At 50.8% G+C, this 20,871-nt stretch overlaps 1 protein-coding gene across 73 annotated transcripts in view, besides 8 other annotated features; it reads left to right on the forward strand.

Moving 5' to 3' along the window:
• Positions 4,267–4,767: an enhancer, noted in NCBI's record as "H3K4me1 hESC enhancer chr7:849762-850262 (GRCh37/hg19 assembly coordinates)". NCBI's record gives its function as "activates a minimal SCP1, AML or CMV promoter by ChIP-STARR-seq in naive H9 embryonic stem cells {active_cell/tissue: H9 hESC(naive)}" and the evidence as "EXISTENCE:reporter gene assay evidence [ECO:0000049][PMID:30033119]".
• Positions 4,744–4,904: a silencer, noted in NCBI's record as "fragment chr7:850239-850399 (GRCh37/hg19 assembly coordinates)". NCBI's record gives its function as "represses an EF-1alpha promoter that drives an FKBP-Casp9 reporter gene in an ReSE screen in K562 erythroleukemia cells {active_cell/tissue: K562}" and the evidence as "EXISTENCE:reporter gene assay evidence [ECO:0000049][PMID:32094911]".
• Positions 7,211–7,775: an enhancer, noted in NCBI's record as "H3K27ac-H3K4me1 hESC enhancer chr7:852706-853270 (GRCh37/hg19 assembly coordinates)". NCBI's record gives its function as "activates a minimal SCP1, AML or CMV promoter by ChIP-STARR-seq in naive H9 embryonic stem cells {active_cell/tissue: H9 hESC(naive)}" and the evidence as "EXISTENCE:reporter gene assay evidence [ECO:0000049][PMID:30033119]".
• Positions 7,776–8,339: an enhancer, noted in NCBI's record as "H3K27ac-H3K4me1 hESC enhancer chr7:853271-853834 (GRCh37/hg19 assembly coordinates)". NCBI's record gives its function as "activates a minimal SCP1, AML or CMV promoter by ChIP-STARR-seq in naive H9 embryonic stem cells {active_cell/tissue: H9 hESC(naive)}" and the evidence as "EXISTENCE:reporter gene assay evidence [ECO:0000049][PMID:30033119]".
• The window catches only part of SUN1 (Sad1 and UNC84 domain containing 1), a 59,378-nt gene continuing 48,205 nt past the window's right edge, over positions 9,699–20,871 (forward strand). For 69 of the 73 annotated variants that reach the window (NR_160282.1, NR_160283.1, NR_160281.1 and 66 more), the window contains exon 1: positions 10,785–10,815. Coding sequence is in view for 2 of the 73 variants with exons in the window: in NM_001367651.1 (NP_001354580.1) it covers positions 16,908–17,203 (296 nt within the window). In the remaining 71 variants the exon portion in view is untranslated. Of the gene's footprint in view, positions 9,746–10,784; positions 10,816–11,421; positions 11,642–16,863; positions 17,204–20,871 lie in introns of those variants that run through there. The other 4 variants (NM_001367634.1, NM_001367651.1, NM_001171945.2 and 1 more) reach the window with 3 other exon arrangements.
• Positions 9,778–10,519: an enhancer, noted in NCBI's record as "H3K27ac-H3K4me1 hESC enhancer chr7:855273-856014 (GRCh37/hg19 assembly coordinates)". NCBI's record gives its function as "activates a minimal SCP1, AML or CMV promoter by ChIP-STARR-seq in naive H9 embryonic stem cells {active_cell/tissue: H9 hESC(naive)}" and the evidence as "EXISTENCE:reporter gene assay evidence [ECO:0000049][PMID:30033119]".
• Positions 10,471–10,900: a silencer, noted in NCBI's record as "silent region_17820". NCBI's record gives its function as "represses an Ori minimal core promoter by ATAC-STARR-seq in GM12878 lymphoblastoid cells {active_cell/tissue: GM12878}" and the evidence as "EXISTENCE:reporter gene assay evidence [ECO:0000049][PMID:35858748]".
• Positions 11,131–11,240: a silencer, noted in NCBI's record as "silent region_17821". NCBI's record gives its function as "represses an Ori minimal core promoter by ATAC-STARR-seq in GM12878 lymphoblastoid cells {active_cell/tissue: GM12878}" and the evidence as "EXISTENCE:reporter gene assay evidence [ECO:0000049][PMID:35858748]".
• Positions 12,474–12,768: a silencer, noted in NCBI's record as "tiled region #7003; HepG2 Repressive non-DNase unmatched - State 4:PromP". NCBI's record gives its function as "represses a minimal TATA promoter and a strong SV40 promoter by Sharpr-MPRA in HepG2 cells {active_cell/tissue: HepG2}" and the evidence as "EXISTENCE:reporter gene assay evidence [ECO:0000049][PMID:27701403]".

Raw genomic sequence — 20,871 nt, forward strand, 5'->3', positions numbered from 1 at the left:
GTCTCTACAAAAAATAGAAAAATTAGGCCAGGCGCGGTGGCTCATGCCTGTAATCCCAGCACTTTGGGAGGCCAAGGCGTGTGGATCACGAGGTCAGGAGCTCAAGACCAGCCTGGGCAACAGAGCAAGACCCCGTCTCTACAAAAAATAGAAAAATTAGCTGGGCATAGTGGTGTGTGCCTGTAGTCCCAGCTACTTGGGAGGCTGAAGTGGGAGGATTGATTGAGCCCAGGAGGTCGAGGCTGCAGTGAGCTATGATGGCACCACTGCACTCCAGCCTGAGCAACAGAGCAAGACCCTGTCTCAAAAAAAAAAAAAAAAAAAAAGCCAGGCACGGTGGCTCACACCTGTAATCCAAGCAATTTGGGAGGCCGAGGCAGGTGGATCACGAGGTCAGGAGATCGAGACCATCCTGGCTAATACGGTGAAACCCCATCTCTACTAACAAAATACAAAAAAATTAGCCGGGCGTGGTGGCGGTCACCTGTAGTCCCAGCTACTTGGGAGGCTGAGGCAGGAAAATGGCATGAACCCGGGAGGCGGAGCTTGCAGTAAGCCGAGATGGTGCCACTGCACTCCAGCCTGGGTGACAGAGCGAGCCTCCGCCTCAGAAAAAAAAAAAAAAAAAAAGGGCTGGGCGCGGTGGTTTACGCCTCTAATCCCAGCACTTTGGGAGGCTGAGGCAGGCGGATCATGAGGTCAGGAGATCGAGACCATCCTGGCTAACATGGTGAAACCCCGTCTCTACTAAAAATACAAAAAAAAATAGCCGGGTGTGGTGGCGGGTGCCTGTAGTCCCAGCTACTCAGGAGGCTGAGGCGGGAGAATGGCGTGAACCCGGGAGGCGGAGCTTGGAGTGAGCTGAGATTGCACAACACTGCACTCCAGCCTGGGCGACAGAGCGAGACTCCGTCTCAAAAAAAAAAAAAAAAAAGAAAAAAAGAAAAGAAAAAGGATTATGTGAGGTCATAGTGCAAAATATGAACACTGGCAATTTCTTATGGGCCACCATAATGATGTCTAAAAGTGTTATTAGGCCAGGGCTGGGCGCTGTGGCTCAAGCCTGTAATCCCAGCACTTTGGGAGGCCAAGGCAGGCGGATCACAAGGTCAGGAGATCAAGACCATTCCGGCTAACATGGTGAAACCCTGTCTCTACTAAAAATACAAAAAAAATTAGCCGGGCGAGTGCCATGTGCCTGTGATCCCAGCTACTCAGGAGGCTGAGGCAGGAGAATGGCATGAACCTGGGAGGCAGAGGTTGCAGTGAGCCGAGATCGCGCCACTGCCCTCCAGCCTGGGTGACAGAGCGAGACTCCGTCTCAAAGAAAAAAAAGTGTTATTATAATCCCAGCATTTTGGGCGGAACACTTAAGGCCAGCCTGGCCAACATGGAAAAACCCCATCTCTACTAAAAATACATTTAAAAAGTAGCCAGGTATGGTGTGCACGCCTGTCATCTCAGCTCCTTGGAAGGATGAGACACAAGAATTGCTTGAACTCTGAAGGCAAAGGTTGCAGTGAGCCAAAATCATGCTACTGCACTCCAGCCTGGGCAACAGAGTGAGACCCTGTGATATGCTTTGGCTGTGTCCCCACCCAAATCTCATCTTGAATGGTAGCTCCCATAATCCCCATGTGTCATGGGAGGGACCCGGTGGGAGGGAATTGAATCATGGGGGTGGGATACTCCTGTGATGTTCTAGTGGGAGTGACTAAGTCTCACGAGATCTGATGGGTTTATTTTATTTTATTTTTTTAGATGGAGTCTTACTCTGTCACCCCCCAGGCTGGAGTACAGTGGCACGATCTCAGCTCACTGCAAGCTCCACCTCCCAGGTTCACGCCATTTTCCTGCCTAGCCTCCCGAGTAGCTGGGACTACAGGCGCCCGCCACCACGCCCGGCTAATTTTTTGTATTTTTAGTCGAGGCGGGGTTTCACCGTGTTAGCCAGGATGGTCTCGATCTCCTGACCTCGTGATCTGCCCGCCTCGGCCTCCCAAAGTGCTGGGATTACAGGTGTGAGCCACTGCTCCCGGCCGAGATCTGATGGTTTTATAAAGGGCGGTTCCCTGCACATGCTCTCTTGCTGCCGCCATGTAAGATGTGACTTTGCTCCTCCTTCACCTTCACCATGATTGTGAGGCCTCCCCAGCCATGTGGAACTCTGAGTCAATTAAACCTCTTTTCGTTATAAATTACCCAGTCTTGGGTATGTCTTTATTAGCAGCGTGAGATCAGACTAATACAATCTGTCTCAAAAGAAGAAAAAAAATTCTATTTAGTGTTAATTTTTTTCTCTTGACACTGACGGTTGTTGTTGATGTTTTTTCAGCAACACATATGTATTGCTGGTCAAATGGAAAAAGAATAAAACGTAAAACCAGTTGCCAGGATGACAGCTGCTCTTCTCTTTAGCAAAGCTCTGCTCCAGATGCCCAGCAGTGTTGCCCTGGGACCCAGCTCTCCTGGGTCCCTTTCCTGGGTCCTGGGCTCTGTCACTCTCTCTCCTCCCTCCAGCCTTGTCCTGGGCAGGTTCCCAGCAGCACATTCCCAGGCGGGTCAGGGGCCCTTCTGGGCTCCCCTCCCAGAGACACTCCTCTCATCAAGACACAGGTGCAGTTTGCCACCCTCTCCCTTCCGGCCCCTGGAGTCACTATTTTCAAATCTGCCATTTTCCCTCTGAACAGGGTACATACAGTCTCAAACAGGTGGATTTTACAACCAAGCGGGAGGATTTTGCCCACAGGAAGACCTTGGAGGTGGCTGCCATCCAGATGGCTCGGGCAGCCCAGCTGACCTGCTGCAGAGGCCTTCCTGGAGGGTCTCGGGCATCGGGGTGTCCACACTGCATCCTGGACAAGAGTGAGCCTCCGTCTCTGGGAGACACGCTGAGTGGGAGCCACACGTGTACCCTGGAGGAAGGCCTTCTGTGTTACTCAGCTCTCACATTGCTGTAAAGAAAGACCTGGCCAGGCGCAGTGGCTCATGCCTGTAATCCCAGCACTTTGGGAGGCCGAGGTGGGTGAATCACAAGGTCAGGAGTTTGAGACCAGCCTGACTGACATGGTGAAACCCTGTCTCTACTAAAAATACAAAAATTAGCCGGGCATGGTGGTGCGCACCTGTAGTCCCAGCTACTCAGGAGGCTGAGGCAGGAGAATTGCTTGAATCTGGGAGGTGGAGGTTGCAGTGAGCCGAGATTGCGCCGCCACACTCCAGCCTGAGTGACAGAGTGAGACTCTGTCTCCACAAAAAAAAAAAAAAAAAGACAGACCTGAGGCTGGGTAACATATAAAGAAAAGAGGTTTGCAATATGGTTTGGCTCTGTGTCCCCACCCAAATCTCATCTGAATTGTAATTCCCATCTGTTGAGGGCGGGACCTGGTGGGAGGCGATTAGATCATGGAGGCAGTTTCTGCCATGCTGTTCTTCTGATAGTGACTGAGTTCTCACAAGATCTGATGGGTTTTTTTGTTTGATTTTTTTTTAGACAGAGTCTGGCTCTGTCGCCCAGGCTGGTGTGCAGTGGCACAATCTCTGCTCACTGCAACCTCCACCTCCTGGGTTCAAGCAATTCTCCTGCCTCAGCCTCCCAATTAGCTGGGATTATAGGTGCCCACCACATCTGGCTAATTTTTCTATTTTTAGCAGAGACGGGAATTCATCATGTTGGCCAGGCTGGTCTGAAACTCCTGACCTCAGGTGATCCGCCAGCCTCAGCCTCCCAGAGTGCTGGGATTACAGGCATGAGCCATTGCAACCAGCCAAGATCTGATGGTTTCAAGCCAGGCGTGGTGGCTCACGCCTGTAATCCCAGCACTCTGGCAGGCCAAGGCGGGTGGTCACCTGAGGTCAGGAATTCAAGACTAGCCTGGCCAACATGATGAAACCCCGTCTCTGCTAAAAATACAAAAATTAGCTGGGCATGGTGGCGGGCGCCTGTAATTCCAGCTACTCGGGAAGCAGAGGCAGGAGAATCACTTGAACCCGGGAGGCGGAGGTTGCAGTGAGCCGAGATTGTGCCATTTCACTCTAGCCTGGGCAACAAGAGCAAAACTCCATCTCAAAAACAAGCAAATAAAACAAAACAAAGAGATCTGATGGTTTCATAAGTGTTTGGCAAGTTCCTCCTTCACACACTTCTCTCTCTCACCTGCCACCATGTAAGACGTGCCTGCTTCCCCCTCCCCCACGACTGTAAGCTTTCCGAGGCCTCCCCAGCCATATGGAACTGTGAGTCGATTAAACCTCTTTTCTCGGCCGGTCACGGTGGCTCACACCTGTAATCCCAGCACTTTGGGAGGCTGAGGCGGGTGGATCACGAGGCCATGAGATCGAGACCATCCTGACTAACACAGTGAAACCCCATCTCTACTAAAAATACAAAAACTTAGCCAGGCATGGTGGCGGGCGCCTGCAGTCCCAGCTACTTGGGAGGCTGAGGCAGGAGAATGGTGTGAACCTGGGAGGCGGAGCTTGCAGTGAGCCGAGATCGCGCCACTGCAGTCCAGCCTGGGCAAGAGAGTGAGACTCCATCTCAAAAACAAAACAAAACAAAACAAAACAAAACCTCTTTTCTCTATAAACGACCCAGTCTTGGGTAGTATCTTTACAGCAGTGTGAAAACAGGCTAATACAGTTTATGTGGCCCACGGTTTTGCAGGCCGTACAGGAAGCAGGGCAGCAGCATCTGCTTCTAGCAAGGCCTCAGGCTGCTTCCACTCATGGCAGAGGTGAAGGGGCAGGTGCATCACATGATGACAGCAGGAGCAAGAGAGGCCGTGAGGAGGTCCCAGCTCTCGCACGAACTGAGTGAGGGTTCACTTATCACCAAGGGGATGACGCTGGGCAATTCATGAGGGATCCGCCCCCATGATCCAACACCTCCCAGCAGGCCCCACCTCCAGCAGCAGGGATCACATTTCAACCTGAGATCTGTAGGGGACAAACATCCAAACCACATCCGCCTCTCTCCTGGGCCCTCCAGGTGTGGCCATGGCAGGGCAGGCCCAGCATTGCCAGATATGATTTTTCAAGAGAAGCTGGAAGTCCAGATTTTAAAAATATATTTTTTAAGTCCTTTAATTTTTTTTTTTTTTTTTTTGAGACAGAGTCTCGCTCTATTACCCAGGCTGGAGTGCAGTGGCGCTATCTTGGCTCACTGCAAGCTCCGCCTCCCAGGTTCATGCCATTCTCCTGCCTCAGCCTCCCAAGTAGCTGGGACTACAGGCGCCCGCCACCACGCCTGGCTAATTTTTTGTATTTTTTAGTAGAGACGGGGTTTCACCATGTTAGCCAAGATGGTCTTGATCTCCTGACCTTGTGATCCGCCCGCCTCGGCCTCCCAAAGTGCTGGGATTACAGGCGTGAGCCACTGCGCCTGGCCAAGTCCTTTAATTTTTAAATATTGGCAACTCGTTTATTTTTGTTTGTTTGTTTCTTTTGTTTTGCTTTGCTTTTTTTGAGATGGAGTATTGCTCTGTTGCCCAGGCCAGAGTGCAGTGGCATGATCTCAGCTCACTGCAACCTCTGCTTCCCCAGTTGAAGCAATTATCTTGCCTCAGCCTCTCAAGTAGCTGGGACTACAGGCATCGCCACCACACCTGGATAATTTTTTTTTTTTTTGGAGACAGAGGAGTCTCTCACTATTGCCCAGGCTGGAGTGCAGTGGTGCGATCTCGGCTCACTGCAACCTCTGCCTCCCGGGTTCAAGTGATTCTCTTGCCTCAGCCTCCTGAGTAGTTGGGAATACAGGCGCATACCACCATGCCCGGCTAATTTTTTGTATTGTAGTAGAGACGGGTTTCACCATGTTGGCCAGGATGGTCTCGATCTCCTGACCACGTGATCCAACTGCCTCGGCCTCCCAAAGTGCTGGGATTACAGTCGTGAGCCACCGCGCCCAGCTGCCTCCTTTTATAAGGATACATATTGGATTCAGGGCCCACCCTAAGCCAGGATGGTCGCATCTCTAGATCTTTACCTTAATTATATCTGCAAAGACCCTTATTCCAAATAAGATTGCATTCTGAGGCTGCAGGTGGACACATCTGGGGGCCGCTATGCATCCTGCTGCTGTTTAACAGACCTGCCGAGAGATGACCTAAACCCCAGGGATCAGCTAGGTAAAAGAGCAGGCATCCTAAAACAAAACAGAACAAGGTGCCACCCAAATATCCCTGTCCCTGCTTCCTCGTTTCTCTTGAAAGACCTGTCTGTCCTGCCTCGCTCTACCTGCCTCCTCTGTTCTCTCCAGAACCCATCCTTACCATCCTGCCAAAATAACTCCCACCAAGGCCGCTGTCGCCGCGACTCACTAAAGCCCTCACTAAAGCCCAGCAATGGCTCTGTGGCCAGGCTGCACCCTCCTGTCCCCTAACGTCCTCCCCAATCCTGTACCCTCTCATCCCCCACCATTCTCCCCACAAATCCCAGCTACTTGGGAGGCTGAGGCAGGGAACTGCTTGAACCTGGGAGGTGGAGGTTGCAGTGAGCCGAGATCGCACCACTCCACTCCAGCCTGGTGACAGAGCGAGACTCCGTCTCAAAAAAAAAAAAAAAAAAAAAAAAAAAAGAAGGCCAGGTGAGGTGGCTCACACCTGTCATCCCAGCACTTTGGGAGGCCAAGGGGGGAGGATCGCTTCAGCCTAGGAGTTTCAGACCAGACTGGGCAACATGGCAAGACCCTATCTCTACAAAAAGTTAATAAAATTAGCTGGGCATGGTGGTGGGTACCTGTAGTCCCAGCTACTCGAGAGGCTGAGGCAAGAGAATCACTTGAGTCCAGGAGTTTGAGGTTACCATGAGCCGTGACTGTGCCACTGCATTCCAGCCTGGGTGACAGAGCAAGGCTCTCTCTCAAAACTAAGCAAGCAAATAAATACATACATAAGTAAATGAAACGCTCTTCAGGGCCCAGCATGCATGTCTGCAGTCTACAGTGAGTTCAAACCCTCTGTCAATGCTGGGAGCATCTGTGTATGGATTTTGGATTCTGTGTATTGGGAAATCTGGCTGAGTTCAAACTCTGTCAATACTGGGAGTGTCTGTGCATGGATTTTGGATTCTGTGTATTGGGAAATCTGCCTGAAATCTGTTACAGCTCTCCGGCAAGTTCCTTTCACCACTCCCCACAGTCTCACACACTGAAACCACAGCAGGGGCCGCCCTCACTCACCGCAGGGGACAACCACCCACCAAAAACCATTTCCTCTGCGGATGCTTCCCGCCCAAAGAAGGAACCAGAAGCAGGCAGGATGGGGAAGCAGCTGGTGGAGAAGCCAAATTGTTTCCTTAAGAGAAAGGGATTTACGGGAGGTGGAGGTTGCAGTGAGCCAAGATCGCACCACTGCACTCCAGCCTGGGCGACAAGAGCAAAACTCTGTCTCAAAAAAAAAAAAAAAAAAGAGAGAGAGATACGGATTTCCTGAGCCTCCAGGAGGTCGGCTGGGTAATTTTCCTTCGTCCGACTCTCTCCCTGGCCATTGCGTAGCCACCTCATCCAGATGGCACGAAGCCTCCGGGCTCGGGTTTCTGACTCGTCTCCCAGGAGCCGGTTTCTGTTTACCGCTGAAAGGCACGCCTGCTGCCAAATTTGAGGTGTGAGCTCACCGAGAAAAAAGCACTGTGCTCCCCCGGGAGCTTTGCAAAACGGGCCGCTGCTGCCCTCCGTTCTGCAGCAGAGATGGTGGCCTTGAAGACAGCGAGCCTGCCTACGGGGTCGCTGCGTCCGGTCTCACTCCAGCCAGGCTGCCGGCCTGGCCCCTGCCTCCGTTTCCCTTGCTTTGAAATGTCAGTGGCTGCACTACCTGCTCCGTCCTGCTCTGCAGTGCTGGGAAGATGGGAAAAGCCTTAGGAACTGAAGCCCAGCCTGTTGTCCAATGTCCTCTTCTGAAATGAGGACAGTTGGCCAGGCCAAAGAAAACAGACCCAAGCTGTGTTTCGGGAGACACAGAAGCCCCCCAGACTCTCCTACCTGCTTGTTCTTGTTCCTCCCTTAACCCACTCCACGGACCGGGGCCTTACGGGGAGGCCGTACTGGCCCCAGGGTGGGCAGGGTGGAGGCCAGCCTTTTTGGGGGCACGATCCTAGTATTTGAATGTCCATCTTCTCTAGTGACAGACCCAGGCGGTGGGTTCTGGCACGGCCATCTGCCAAAATCTTTCCCCCAAACAGATGTGTCTGTTTAAAAAGGAGATCTAATGCAGGCTTTTAGCAGCAATGTAAGGTCCATCAGAGTTAATGCTTGGTTTAAAAAAAAAAAAAGTAGTCAGATGTGGTAGAGGGTGCGGGGGGACGCTGAGGCAGAGGATCGTTTCAGACCAAGAGCTCAAGACCAGCCTGGGAAGCCGGGCGCGGTGGCTCACGCCTGTAATCCCAGCACTTTGGGAGGCCGAGGCGGGCGGATCACGAGGTCAGGAGATCGAGACCATCCTGGCTAACACGGTGAAACCCCGTCTCTACTAAAAATACAAAAAATTAGCCAGGCGAGGTGGCAGGCGCCTGTAGTCCCAGCTACTTGGGAGGCTGAGGCAGGAGAATGGCGTGAACCCCCGGGGGGCAGAGCTTGCACTGAGCCGAGATAGCGCCACTGCACTCCAGCCTGGGCGACAGAGAGACTGTCTCAAAAAAAAAAAAAAAAAAAAAAAAAAAAAGACCAGCCTGGGCAATATAGTGAGACTCCATCTGTACAAAAAGATTTAAAATTAGCCAGACATGGTGGTGTCTGCCTGTAGTCTCAGCGACTCAGGAGGCTGACGTGGGAGAATGGCTTGAACATGGGACGGCGAGGCTGCAGTGCGCTATGATCATACCACTGCGTGATCACTCCAGCCTGGATGACAGAGCGAGACCCTGTCTCTAAACAACAACAACAAAAAGCAAAACAAAAAGGAAAAAAACAGGAGTTCCAGACCAGCCTGGCCAACATGGTGAAACCCCGTCTCTACTAAAAATACAAAAATTATCCGGATGTGGTGGTGGGCACCTGTAATCCCAGCTACTCAGGAGGCTGAGGCACAAGAATTGCTTGAACCCGGGAGGTGGAGGTTGCAGTGAGCCGAGATCGTGCCATTGTACTCCAGCCTGGATAACAAGAGCGAAATTGTCTCAAAAATAAGTAAATAAATAAAGGCCTTATTGGCCGGGTGCGGTGGCTCATGCCTGTTATCCCAGCACTTTGGGGGGCTAAGGTGGGAGGATCACTTGAGGTCAGGAGTTCAAGACCAGCCTGGACAACATAGTGAGACCCCCATGTTTACAAAAATATACCAAAAAAAGGCCGGGTGCGGTGGCTCACACCTGTAATCCCAGCACTTTGGGAGCCCGAGGCAGGCGAATCACGAGATCAGGAGTTCAAGACCAGTCTGGCCAACATGGTGTAACCCTGTCTCTACTAAAAATACAAAAAATTAGCTGGGGGTGGTGGCAGGTACCTGTAATCCCAGCTACTGGGGAGACTGAGGCAGGAGAATCGCTTGAACCCGGCAGGCAGAAGTTGCAATGAGCCGAGATCGCGCAAATGCACTCCAGCCCAGGCGATGGTGAGAGACTCCGTTTCAAAAAAAAAAAAAAAAAAAAGCCAGGCGCGCCTGTAGTCCCAGCTACTCGGGAGTCTGAGGTGGGAGGATCACCTGGGCCGGGGAGGTTGAGGTTACAGTGAGCTATGACTGCGCCACTGCACTCCAGCCTGGACAACGGGAGGGAGACCTTGTCTCAAAAAAAAAACAAAAGAGCAAAAAAGGTGAACATGATTGTATGTAAATTACACTTCGTTTTAAAAGTGCAAAGAACAAATCAGTATTTGCAAGACGCGGTGCAGTCCCCAGCACGGAGAAGAGAACCTGCGAATTCCACGCGGGAAGAGCCGGCGTTTCCATCAGCAGGGGCCCTGCAGGAGACCTCGCGTGCAGACCCCACACATTCCCCAGAAGGGCGCCTGGGGAGGAGGGGCCGCGGGAGGAGCCCGGCCTGCGAGCGCCTGCGCACGCCCGGAGCGGCGGGGAATTGGGGTGGGGGCGGCGGCCAGCAATGGGAGACGTGCGGAAGGCCAAGGAGGCACTGGCCGAGGTGAGCCCCGTCGGAAGTGGGGGCTGCCTCCCGGAGCCGCAGCTGCCCCTCCCCCAAGACGCGGACGCCCTCCTGGAGATTCAGACCCTCTCATGGAGATGCAGACCCCTCCCCCGGATCCAAACCTCTCCCCAAGATGCGGACGCCCTCCCCCAGATGCACACACCTTTCCGAAGATGCAGACCCTTCCCCCAGATGCAGACCCCTCCCCAACGTAGACCGCGTATCTGAGGGGCAGAGCCCTCCGCGATGCAGACCCCTCCCCCAGGTGCAGACCCCTCCCCCAGGTGCAGACCCCTCCCCCAGGTGCAGATCCCTCCCCCAGATGCGGGCCCCTCCCCCAGATGCAAACCCCCCCCAGCAGGTGCAGACCCCTCCCCTAAATGCGGAGCCCTCCCTCAGATGCAGGCCTTTCCCCCGAATGCAGTCCCCCTCCTCCAGGTGCAGCCCCCATACCGGGACGTGGCCTCGCCCGTCCCACCCCGTGACGCATCCAGGCCCCTCCCCCTCCCTCCCTCTCCCCCTCCCCTTCCCCCGCCTGGAGTCCTCCTCGCCCCTCCGCCCGCGGCCCGTAGCCGCCTCGTCATTGGCCAGAACGCTTCGGGTGGCGCGCTCGGGACTGGTGAAGGCCTGCGTTGCTCCCGCCCTCGGCCCGGGGCGCGGCCCGCGATTGGCTGGCGTGGGCAGAGCGTCTTCTCGGGCCTGGGCGGCGCAGACGAGGCCTGAGGCGGCGGCGCGAGGCAGGTGAGCTCCCGGCGGGCCGGGCCAAGGGCACCCCGGGGCGGGCGCCGGGCTGCGGGGACGCGAGGCGGGGGCCCGGGGGCCGGGGGGACGCGGGGTCGCGGCCTGGGCGCCCTCAGCGCGGGCTGCGCCAGGGCCTCCTGGGCCAACGGCTGCCGCCCCCGCCCGTCCCGCGCCCCGCAGCTACCCCGGCCCGCGCAGGTGAAGACGCCCGGAGACCCTGGCGGTCGTGGCGCAGGGGTCCTGCTCCTCCCCGGGGTGTCGCCAGCCGGCTCGTGGCGCGGGGTCGGGGGCGGAGCGGGGAGAGGCGCGGGAGGCCGCGGCGGGCGGCCCGGGCTGGGCGTGGAGGAGCGTCCTCCCCGCGTTCTCAGGCCTCGGCCCGGGCTGCCCGCCTGGACCCCGTTGCGGGGTCCCAGCCCCTGGAAGTAGCGGCGGGGCCGTGGGTGGGGTGGTGGGAAGACGGTTTTATTTAAGAGGGGGGGTCTCGCTGTGTTTCCCAGGCTGGTCTCGACCTCCTGAGCGCGAGCTATCCTCCCGCCTCCGCCTCCCGAAGCGCTCGGATCACAGGCGTGAGCCACCGCGCCCGGCTGATAGTCGTATTTTTTGTAGGGTTGTGGTCTCTCCATGCTGCCCAGGTCGGACTCCTAGGCTCAAGCGATCCCCTCGCCCCAGCCTGCCTGGAGGCGCGCGCGTGGTCTCCGCGCCCTGTTGCGCCTTCAAAGTGCCCAGAATGGTGTCTGGTGCAAAATAAGCAGCGGCGGGGAACACCTTGCCACTGTCACCGTCATGGGGAGGATTTCTCCCGGCTCCCCAGGGCTCCCCAGGACAGGTGGGCGGTGCGGTCCGAGGTCTCTGCTCTCGCTTTGCAGCTTGTGGTTGCTGCGTCTGGCTCTGATTCCGGGTGGGAAGCTGCCCATAATTGTGTCTTCTAAGCTTCAGTCATAGTATTGCCCATGAAGTGCTTGCGGCTCTAATTGCTAAAGCTTTGTATGAAGGCTTTTGTGTGTAATCTGTTTTTACTCCCTACATCTCCACTGTGGAGAAACACCGTGTGTTTTGGTTTATCTCATCTGTTGTTGGACACTTGATAGTTTTTTGAAGCCTTTAGTTTTCTCAAATTATTTCTCTAATAATTTCCTTTTCTTTGTTTACCCTTTTTTTCTGACTGTTCTGGAAATACTACTGTTTGGGCTGGAAGGCTTGGGCTGGCTTTATAATTTTCTTGTCTTTCTCCCATTTAATGTTTGTTCTACTTTCTAGATTTCCTCTTTTTCTTCCAGTATATCTATTTAGCATTTTAGTTTGGCCATGGTATTTTAAATTTCCCAGAGCTGTTTTTTTTTCCTCCTTTAAAATTTGTAATATGTTCTTACTTCATAAATGGAGTATCCTCTCATTCACCTGCTTTTTGTTTTTGATTGTGCTAAAATACACGTAACGTAAAACAACATCACCACCTAGTTACATAACTTTTTCATCATCCCAGATGGAAACCCTATACCTGTTAAGCAGCCACTGCCCATTCTTCCGTCTCCCCAGGCCCCGGCAACGGCTAATCTGCTTTCTGTCTCTCTGAATTGGGCTGTTCTGGACATTTCATGTAAATGGAATCATACAATATGCAGCCGCTTGTGTCTGGCCTCTTTCACTTAAGATAATGTCTTCAGAGTTCACGCATGTTGTAGACTGTATCAGTATTCCATTCCTTTTTATGACTGAATAATTGTCCATTGTATAGATATACCACATTATGTTTATCCTTTAGTCTGTTGATGGACACTTGGGCTGTTTGCACCTGTTGGCTAGTGTGAGTAATGCAGCTACTATGAACATTTGTGGATGAGTTTTTGTTTGAGCATCTGTTTTCAATTCTTTGGTTATATACCAAGGAATGGAGTTGCCAGGTCATATGGTAACTCTGTGTTTAGCTTTTTGAGGAACTGCCAAACTGTTTTTCACAGTGTCCGCACCATTTTACATGTCCATTGGCAACAAGTGAGTTCACTTTCTCCACATCCCCCCAACACTTAGTTTCCAAAAAGGATGACCATGCTAGTGGGTCTGAAGTGGCGTCTCATTTGGCTGTGATTTGCATGTCCCTGATGACCAGTGAAGTTGAGAATTGTTTCATGTTCATGTTGGCCGTTGTGTATTTTTGGAGAAATTCTCATTCAGGTCCTTCCCCGCTCCCCTCCCCCCCTTTTTTTTTTTGAGACGGAGTTTCGCTCTGTCGCCCAGGCTGGAGTGCAATGACAGGAACTCAGCTCACCGCGACCTCCGCCTCCCGGGCTCAAGCGATTCTCCTGCCTCAGCCTCCCGAATAGCTGGGATTACAGGTGCCTGCCACCACACCCGGCTAATTTTGTATTTTTAGTAGAGATGGGGTTTCTCCATGTTGGTCAGGCTGGTCTCAAACTCCCGACCTCAGGTGATCTGCCCGCCTCGCCCTCCCAAAGTGCTGGGATGACAGGTGTGAGCCACCGTGCCTGGCCTCTTTCTCCGTTTTTAAATTGGGTTGCCTCTTTTTTTTTTTTTTTGAGTTGTCAGAATTCTTTATTCTGTATACTAGACCCTCATTAGACATATGATTAATAAATACTTTCTCCCAGTCTTTGGATTGTCTCTTCACTCTCTTGTTGGTGTCCTTTGATGCACAAATTGATGAACTCTAAATTGATTAACTCTAATTTTTCTGTTTTTTCTTTTGTTGCTCATGCTTTTGATGTCATACCTAAGAACTCTGCAAAATCCAAGGTCAGGAGGATTTGTCCTGTGTTTTCCTTTAAGAGTTTATCATTTTAGCTCTTGTATTTAGGTTTTTGATCCATTTTGAGTTCATTCTTGTGTATGATGTGTGGTAGGTTCTGACTTCGTTCTTTTGCACGTGGATTTTGTTCAAGCATCATTTGTGACAAGACTGCTTTTTCCCTATTGAGTGGTCTTGGCACCCTTGTCAAAATCAATTGATTAGATGTGTGGGTTTATTTTTGGACCCAGTTCTGTTCTGCAGGTCTGTATGTTTTTATGCCAATGCCACCCTTTTTTTTTTTTTTTTTGAGATGGAATCTTGCCCTGTCGCCCAGGCTGGAGTGCAGTGGCGTGATCTCGGCTCACTGCAACCTCCGCCTCCCAGGTTCAAACGCTTCTCCCGCCTCAGCCTCCCAAGTAGCTGGGATTACAGGCGCCCGCCACCACACACAGCTAATTTTTGTATTTTTAGTAGAGACAGGGTTTCACCTTGTTGGCTGGCTGGCCTTGAACTCCTGACCTCATGATCTGCCCACCTCGGCCTCCCAGTGCCATACTATTTTGTAGTAAGTTTTGAAGCTAGGAAGTCGGGGTCCTCCAACTTTGCTTTTCTTCTGGAAGATTTTTTACTATTTGGGACCCATTGCAGTTCCATATGAATTTAAAGATCAGTTTTTCCATATTTGCAAAAAAGACCATTGGGGTTTTGATAGAGATAGTATTGAATCTGTACATCACTGTGGGGGTACTGCTATCCTAACAGTACCTAACAGTCTTTCCATCCATGTACATGGAATGTCTTCCCATTTATGTAGGTTGTCTTTAATTCTTTCAACAATGCTTTGTGATTTTCAGTGTACAAGTGGTGCACTTCCTTGGTTAAATTTATTCCTAAGTTTTTAATACTTTCTGGTGCTATTGTAAAATGAATTGTTTTCCCAATTTCACTTCCAGATTGTTCATTGCTAGTGTGTAGAAATGCAACTGACTTTTTATTGATCTTGTATCCTGAAACTTTGCTGAGTTTGCTTGTTAGTTCTAACAGCAGTTTTTTTGTTGATTCATTAGGATTTTCTAGATATGAGATCATGTCATCTGAGAATAAAGATAGTTTGACATCTTCCTTTCCAATTAGTATGCCTCTTGACTGATTGCTCTGGGGAGAACTTCCAGTATAGTGTTGAAGAGCAGTGGTGAAAGTGGCCGCCCTTGTCTTGTTGCTCATCTTAGGTGAAAAATTTGAATATGACATTCACTGAGTTTTTCATAGATGCCCTTTATCATGTGAGGAAGTTCCCTTCCATTCCTGGCTTGTTGAGTGTTTTTACTATGAAAAGGTGTTGGAGTTTGTGAGGTGCTTTTTCTGCACCAATTGAGATGATCACATGGCTTTGCCTAATTGCTTCTTGAAAAGATTGTGAGTATTCAGTTTCTCCTGTATTTTGGTTCCATCTTACACCCTCACTTCCAATTGTAAACTAGTGCCACTATTTTTGGAGCCTTCTGGGGGTTCCATGATCAAAGTTAGATTGTTCTTCCATGTTCTCCATTGCATGCTTATGACTCAACTTCTTCTGGCCTAAGTCAGTTTTTATTCATCTATCTAGCTCCCCAAAATGTATTGCTATTTTCTTTTCTCCCTTTCATTTTGTTCTCAATGAAATATGCCTTTAAAAAATAGCCCTTTCTCAAAGGGGTATGTGGAAGAGAGTGGATGCTAACATCTATATTCAGCACATCTTTTTTTTTTTTTTTTTTTTTTTTTTTTTGAGACAGAGTCTTGCTCTGTCGCCCAGGCTGGAGTGCAGTGGAGCGATCTCGGCTCACTGCAACCTCTGCCTCCCATGTTCAAGTGATTCTCCGGCCTTAGCCTCCTGAGTAGGTGGGACTACAGGTGCACGCCACCACGCCCAGCTAAGTTTTGTATTTTTAGTAGAGACAAGGTTTCACCATGTTGGTCAGGCTGATCTTGATCTCTTGACCTCGTGATCCGCCCACCTCAGCCTCCCAAAGTGCTGGGATTATAGGCGTGAGCCCGGCCTGGTGACCTGTTTTCAAAGAACGCTGATATTTAATGGGGTGTGTTGTCAGGTCATAACCATTGTTTCCTGGTCCTGAATTTATGATGATCGAATGGTCTCCTAGTCTGCTTTATAGTGTCTCCAGATTCTGAAAATAAATCCAATTCAAATCTGCTTACAGTAAATGCCAGGGAGTGTTTTTTTGTGGGAGAAGTAGTGATGGGATGAAAGCATCCTTCAGCGTTCAACCCTTGCCCTTACCGCAGCGTTTCAGGGTGAGGTGAGAGTCCTGGAATTACCTCTCCTGGAGGCTGTTGAATTGCATGTCATAACGCCCACTGGTGATTCCAGTTAAGCGGTCCTGAACACAGCGGGAAAGGGAGTTCCCACATCGGGGTTCATCAGGCAGATTGGAAACAGGACTATCTAGGCAGTAGGCCCAGTGTCGTCGGCCTCACCTTTCCCTGTGCGTATTTGGTGGGGTGGTTGTGCTTGTGTTGCCCTGCCAGAGGGTTGCAGTGTTGTTTCATTGATTGAAAGCCTGCCCTCGTTTTCTTCTTCCCCTTGCTTCCTAAATGTGGAGCTCGTTGCTATTTTGGACTGCTCACCCACTTGATTTATAGATAGAGGAGACCAGGCCTGCTACATCACATTTGAAGCAGTTTGCTTCCACTGGGATAAAATAAACTAGGAAGTGTCAGATGAAAATACAGAAAATGATGTTGCTTCTTATAATACACTGTTTATATAATTGTATGTTCTAATTGTTGCTACTTTATTAAGCATCTCTTGTAATTTATTAGTCAGTTTTACGGTTTAAATTGTGTCTGTAATTAAGCATGCTTGTTCTGTTGGTACTTTGGTTTTCATTTAGTCGCTTAGGGGCATACAGTGAATGGCTGTAGGTTGTGAGTTTAGGCGGTAACATCTGTGTGACAGACACTTTTGACATTTGTGCAGAATTAAACTGTAGGTCTCAGACAAGCAGCGTGGATGTCATCACATCCAGGTGCCGGGTTCCCTGGGTCCCTACGGTGGGGAGACACCCCTCGGGCATGTGTAGTTTGAACACAGAGCAGCCCTTTGGTCGCTTTGTTCTCAGCCATTCTATTTATTTTGATTTTTAATATTATTGTAAGATGTGAGCTGTATCTGCAGTATGAAAAACAGATGATTTTATTGCTACAAACTGAAAAGTATTCACCTTGAGCCTGGTACTTGGTGCTGGGGAGAACAGAGCGCTAGAAGGGTGATCTGGACGTGGTGTGGATGTGTATTCCAGAACATGTAAGACCGTGAGACTGCTGTTGACAATTACTGTTGGGAATGGAGCAGCTGACATACCTGTTCCGGTTAGACGAGGAAGCATATGAAGGCCTGAACATGCCGGGAGGAAGAATGAGAGGCCCAAGCGCAGCACACACAGCCCTGTGGCCACCCGCGAATTCCCGCACACACACGGCCCTGTGGCCACCCGTGAATTCCCACACACACACGGCCCTGTGGCCACCCGTGAATTCCCACACACACACGGCCCTGTGGCCACCCGCGAATTCCCGCACGCACGTGGCCCTGTGGCCACGCATGAATTCCTGTACAGGATTTTTCCGGAGCGTAGTCAGGTAAGGAGTAGAGAGCGGTGGAGACTGGAGGATTGTCAGCTTAGTGGCAAAGCGAGCAGGGTGCGTGGCGTGGAGAGCGCCCCCTTCCAGTCACGTGCAGCGTTCACTTGTTCTCCAGGCAAGGATTAGAGCCGAAGGTGAATGAGGCACAGTTCCTGCCGTCACAGAGTTCAAGGGCCGCTTGGAGAGAAGGACTCATTGAGAAATAATCATTATGATTTGTGTTCCTGCTGATCACCAGTGAGTGCTAGAATTGACAGTAACTGGGGTAGGATGAGGCCCATGGGGGCTTCCTGGTGGTGGTATCTCTGCTGAACATTAAGTGTGAGGAGAAGTTAGCTAGGCAGAGTTTGGGGTGTAACTAGACCAAGGAGATGCGGAAGGGGATCAGGAAATAGGAGGGCACCTCAGGCAGGAGGACATTCATTGCAAGGAAAGAGTGGAGGAGCGGCATGTAAATGGGTGGGGAGGAGAGGGTTCCCTGGAGCCACGGTGGATTCTAAGGCACGGATGGGAAGTGAGGAGGGAGAAGTAGCAGCATTTGCACCAGTGCCGTGTGTGCAGGCAGCCATGGGGGGAGTCTGTGCGAACAAGGTAGGCAGATTTCTCTGTAGATGGGTCATTCAGGTGGTTTTCTCAAGGATTGGCTTGAGAGGCAAGACTGGAGCCAGGGAGACGGTCAAGGCACTTGCAGGGAGCCAGCCAGAGGTGGCATGTCAGGGCGGGAATGGAGAGGGGGCATGGGGCACGCGCCCTGGGGAGGGAGGAGCAGGCCTGGGGCGTGATTTGGACCTGTGAGCCTGCCTGACATCCAGGCGGAAATGCCCAACAGGAAATAAAACGATGCCTGTGTACCAACTGGAATTACAGATGGGTTACATGAATTATTAATGGCTTGCAGTATAAACATCAAAACAGTAAGAGTAGGAGAGTCCGTTGCAGACCATGCTTGTGTTCTTGGCTTAGGGAAAGTCTTTCTAAGAAGTGGGACATGAGTGAGGGAAGGGAAAGACCAGACATGGTGTGGCCAAAGTCACCTGGGTGAAGTTAAGGACGGGAGTATCCCTGCCATGTAGTAGTGGATTCATATCCTTATGTGTATGTGGTCCAGTAAAACAGAAGAAGACAGATCTCCGCACAGGATGAGAAATACCCCTGGCTGAGAAACACAAAAAGATGTTTCACGTCACTGATAATTAAGGAAATGCACATGAAAGCTGTGTGAGCCTCTGGGTCCAGACCCAGCACGGGCTCTGCAGGAGGAGGATGCTGAGTGTGGCTGCAGCACATCCCTGCTTGAGGGCCGCTGGCTGCAGATGAGTTCTCCAGGAGACATTTGGTTGGCGGTCCCCATCGTACTGGTTATAAGGAAATTCTGTGCACTCTAGGTTTGAAGCAAATACAATGAAACTATTTAAACTATTTAATAGTTTTGTCTTCCTAGACGCTTTGCAGTAATATGTATAAACTAAATAATTTGGCCTTGGGCTTTTGCTGAAACACTGTGATGACCACCGTTCTGTAAGAGGAAGTGGGGTTTGTATTAAAAAGATTCAGTGCCCTTATGGTAAGGAGATGTGTGCACGTGATCATCGGTCTTCTGGTAGAAGTCGTCGTTTTCTTTGACACTCAGCTGTTTTCTTGATGTTCAGGCTAGATGGGCTTGCTTACCTTTTCCTGTTGTTTCATCATTTCCAAAACAAGTGAAGAAACGTTGCATCTTGGCTAGGAACTATCTGTCGATATGGCTTTGCTGCTGATGGGGTGTGCTGGGAGGCAGTCCAGAGCAGGGCGGGTGCGGGGTGGGGGCGTCCGCTGGCTGGGTGCTCCAGGGGTGCTCGGAGGAGCAGCTTCTGTTTCTAGCCCCTGTGAACGTGTCCACACCTCACAGCTAAGGCAGTGGGAGACCTTGAATTGGACCCCAGAGGACTGTCTGCCTGTCCTGCCTCACAAATGAAGATGAAATTTGTTTCTTTTTGAAAGTGATATTTATTACGATAATTTTTTTTTTTTTTTAGGCGGAGTCTTGCTCGGTCACCCAGGCTGGAGTGCAGTGGCACGATCTCAGCTCACTGCAAGCTCCACCTCCCGGGTTCACGCCATTCTCCTGCCTCAGCCTCCCGAGTAGCTGGGACTACAGGCGCCCGCCACTGCGCCCGGCTAATTTTGTTTTTGTATTTTCAGTAGAGACAGGGTTTCACTGTGTTAGTCAGGTTGGTCTTGATCTCCTGACCTTGTGATCCGCCCATCTCGGCCTCCCAAAGTGTTGGGATTACAGGCATGAGCCACCGCACTTGGCCTATTATGTTAATTTTAAAAATTATAAAACCAATACCTGCTCTTTAAAAAAATTTTCAAACAGCCTGAAAGGGGTTAAATGACAAGTAGAAGTTCCATCCGCCCGAATTTACTCAAATCTAGTGTTATTTTTCGAGAAGTACTAAAAGCGTGTTCACTTGTGTGTATGCGTGTATAAAATATGTGGCATACAGCCCTTTCAAATATTTTTAGGTTGTAGTCATTTATTTCTGATTTGTTGTTTTGAATAATCAGTTCATTTTTAAGGATTCTCAGTCAGGGTAAATCATCCGGTTTTCATAAACCAACAGTTGTTTTTCTTCCTCTAAATGAAATTGGAGATGCAATGCCAATTCTTGTTTATTATGTTGTAGAAGTAATTACATGAGCATGATCTTTGGAAAACATCTATTTCTAAGACAGTTTCTTTTTATTTTTTAATCTGCAGGAAAAATAATGTTTTTATTAGTCTCTACATTATTTACTTTCAATAATATGAAGATCTAAGGACGATAATTATGTTAACATTTAGTACTGGTTTTTTTTTTTCCAGAATTTTAGTTTTAAATAATTATTTACAGTGGACTTAAGAAACAAACCGGGCTGGGCATGGTAGCTCACACGTGTAATCCCAGAACTTTGGGAGGCTGAGGAAAATCGCTTGAGGCCAGGAGTTCAAGACCAGCCTGGGCAACATAGGGAGACCCTGTCTCTAAGAAAATAAAAAGATTAACCAGGTGCCGTGACGCGCCCCTGTGGTCCCAGCACTGTGGGAAGCTGAGGCTTGAGCCCAGGAGATGGAGGCTGCAGTGAGCTGTGATCACGCCCCTGGCACTCTAGCCTGGGCGACAGAATGAGACCCTGTCTCTTAAAATACATACATAAGAAAGAAAGAACAAAGAAACGAACTGCCTGATGTCAGGCTAGCTGCCGTTTGACAACCCTGGTCTGGGGTGCTTAAGGATGAGCGAAGATGAGGATTGAGCGAGCATGTGTGTCTGTGTGTGTGCGCCTGTGTGCTCATCATGCCCCGCTCGGTGTCTCTCGGGAAGGTCCCTGAGGGAAGGATCTGGCGAAACATCGCTGCCCAGCCGGGTGGAGCAGGCGTCCACTGCTGGTAGGCCCTGCCGAGGCCGGGGGCTGCAGCTCTGGGTGTCCCTGTGGACGTGGGGCTTGTGGCAGATGGCGCTCTGGGAGGAGGGGCCTGTGTGTCCCCCCGTGGATCAGTGATAGACTGACAGAGTTTTGCAGGTTTGAGTCGTAGGTGTGACTGTTGTTTCAGGAGGTAGGCTGCCATTTTAAACCAAGGCTTGCGGGATCCGTGTGGGCAGGTTCCCCACGGTTTCTGATGGGAACGCTGCGTCTCACTG

The sequence above is a fragment of the Homo sapiens genome, chromosome 7, assembly GCF_000001405.40.
Source record: "Homo sapiens chromosome 7, GRCh38.p14 Primary Assembly".
Taxonomy (NCBI): Eukaryota; Metazoa; Chordata; class Mammalia; order Primates; family Hominidae; genus Homo; species Homo sapiens.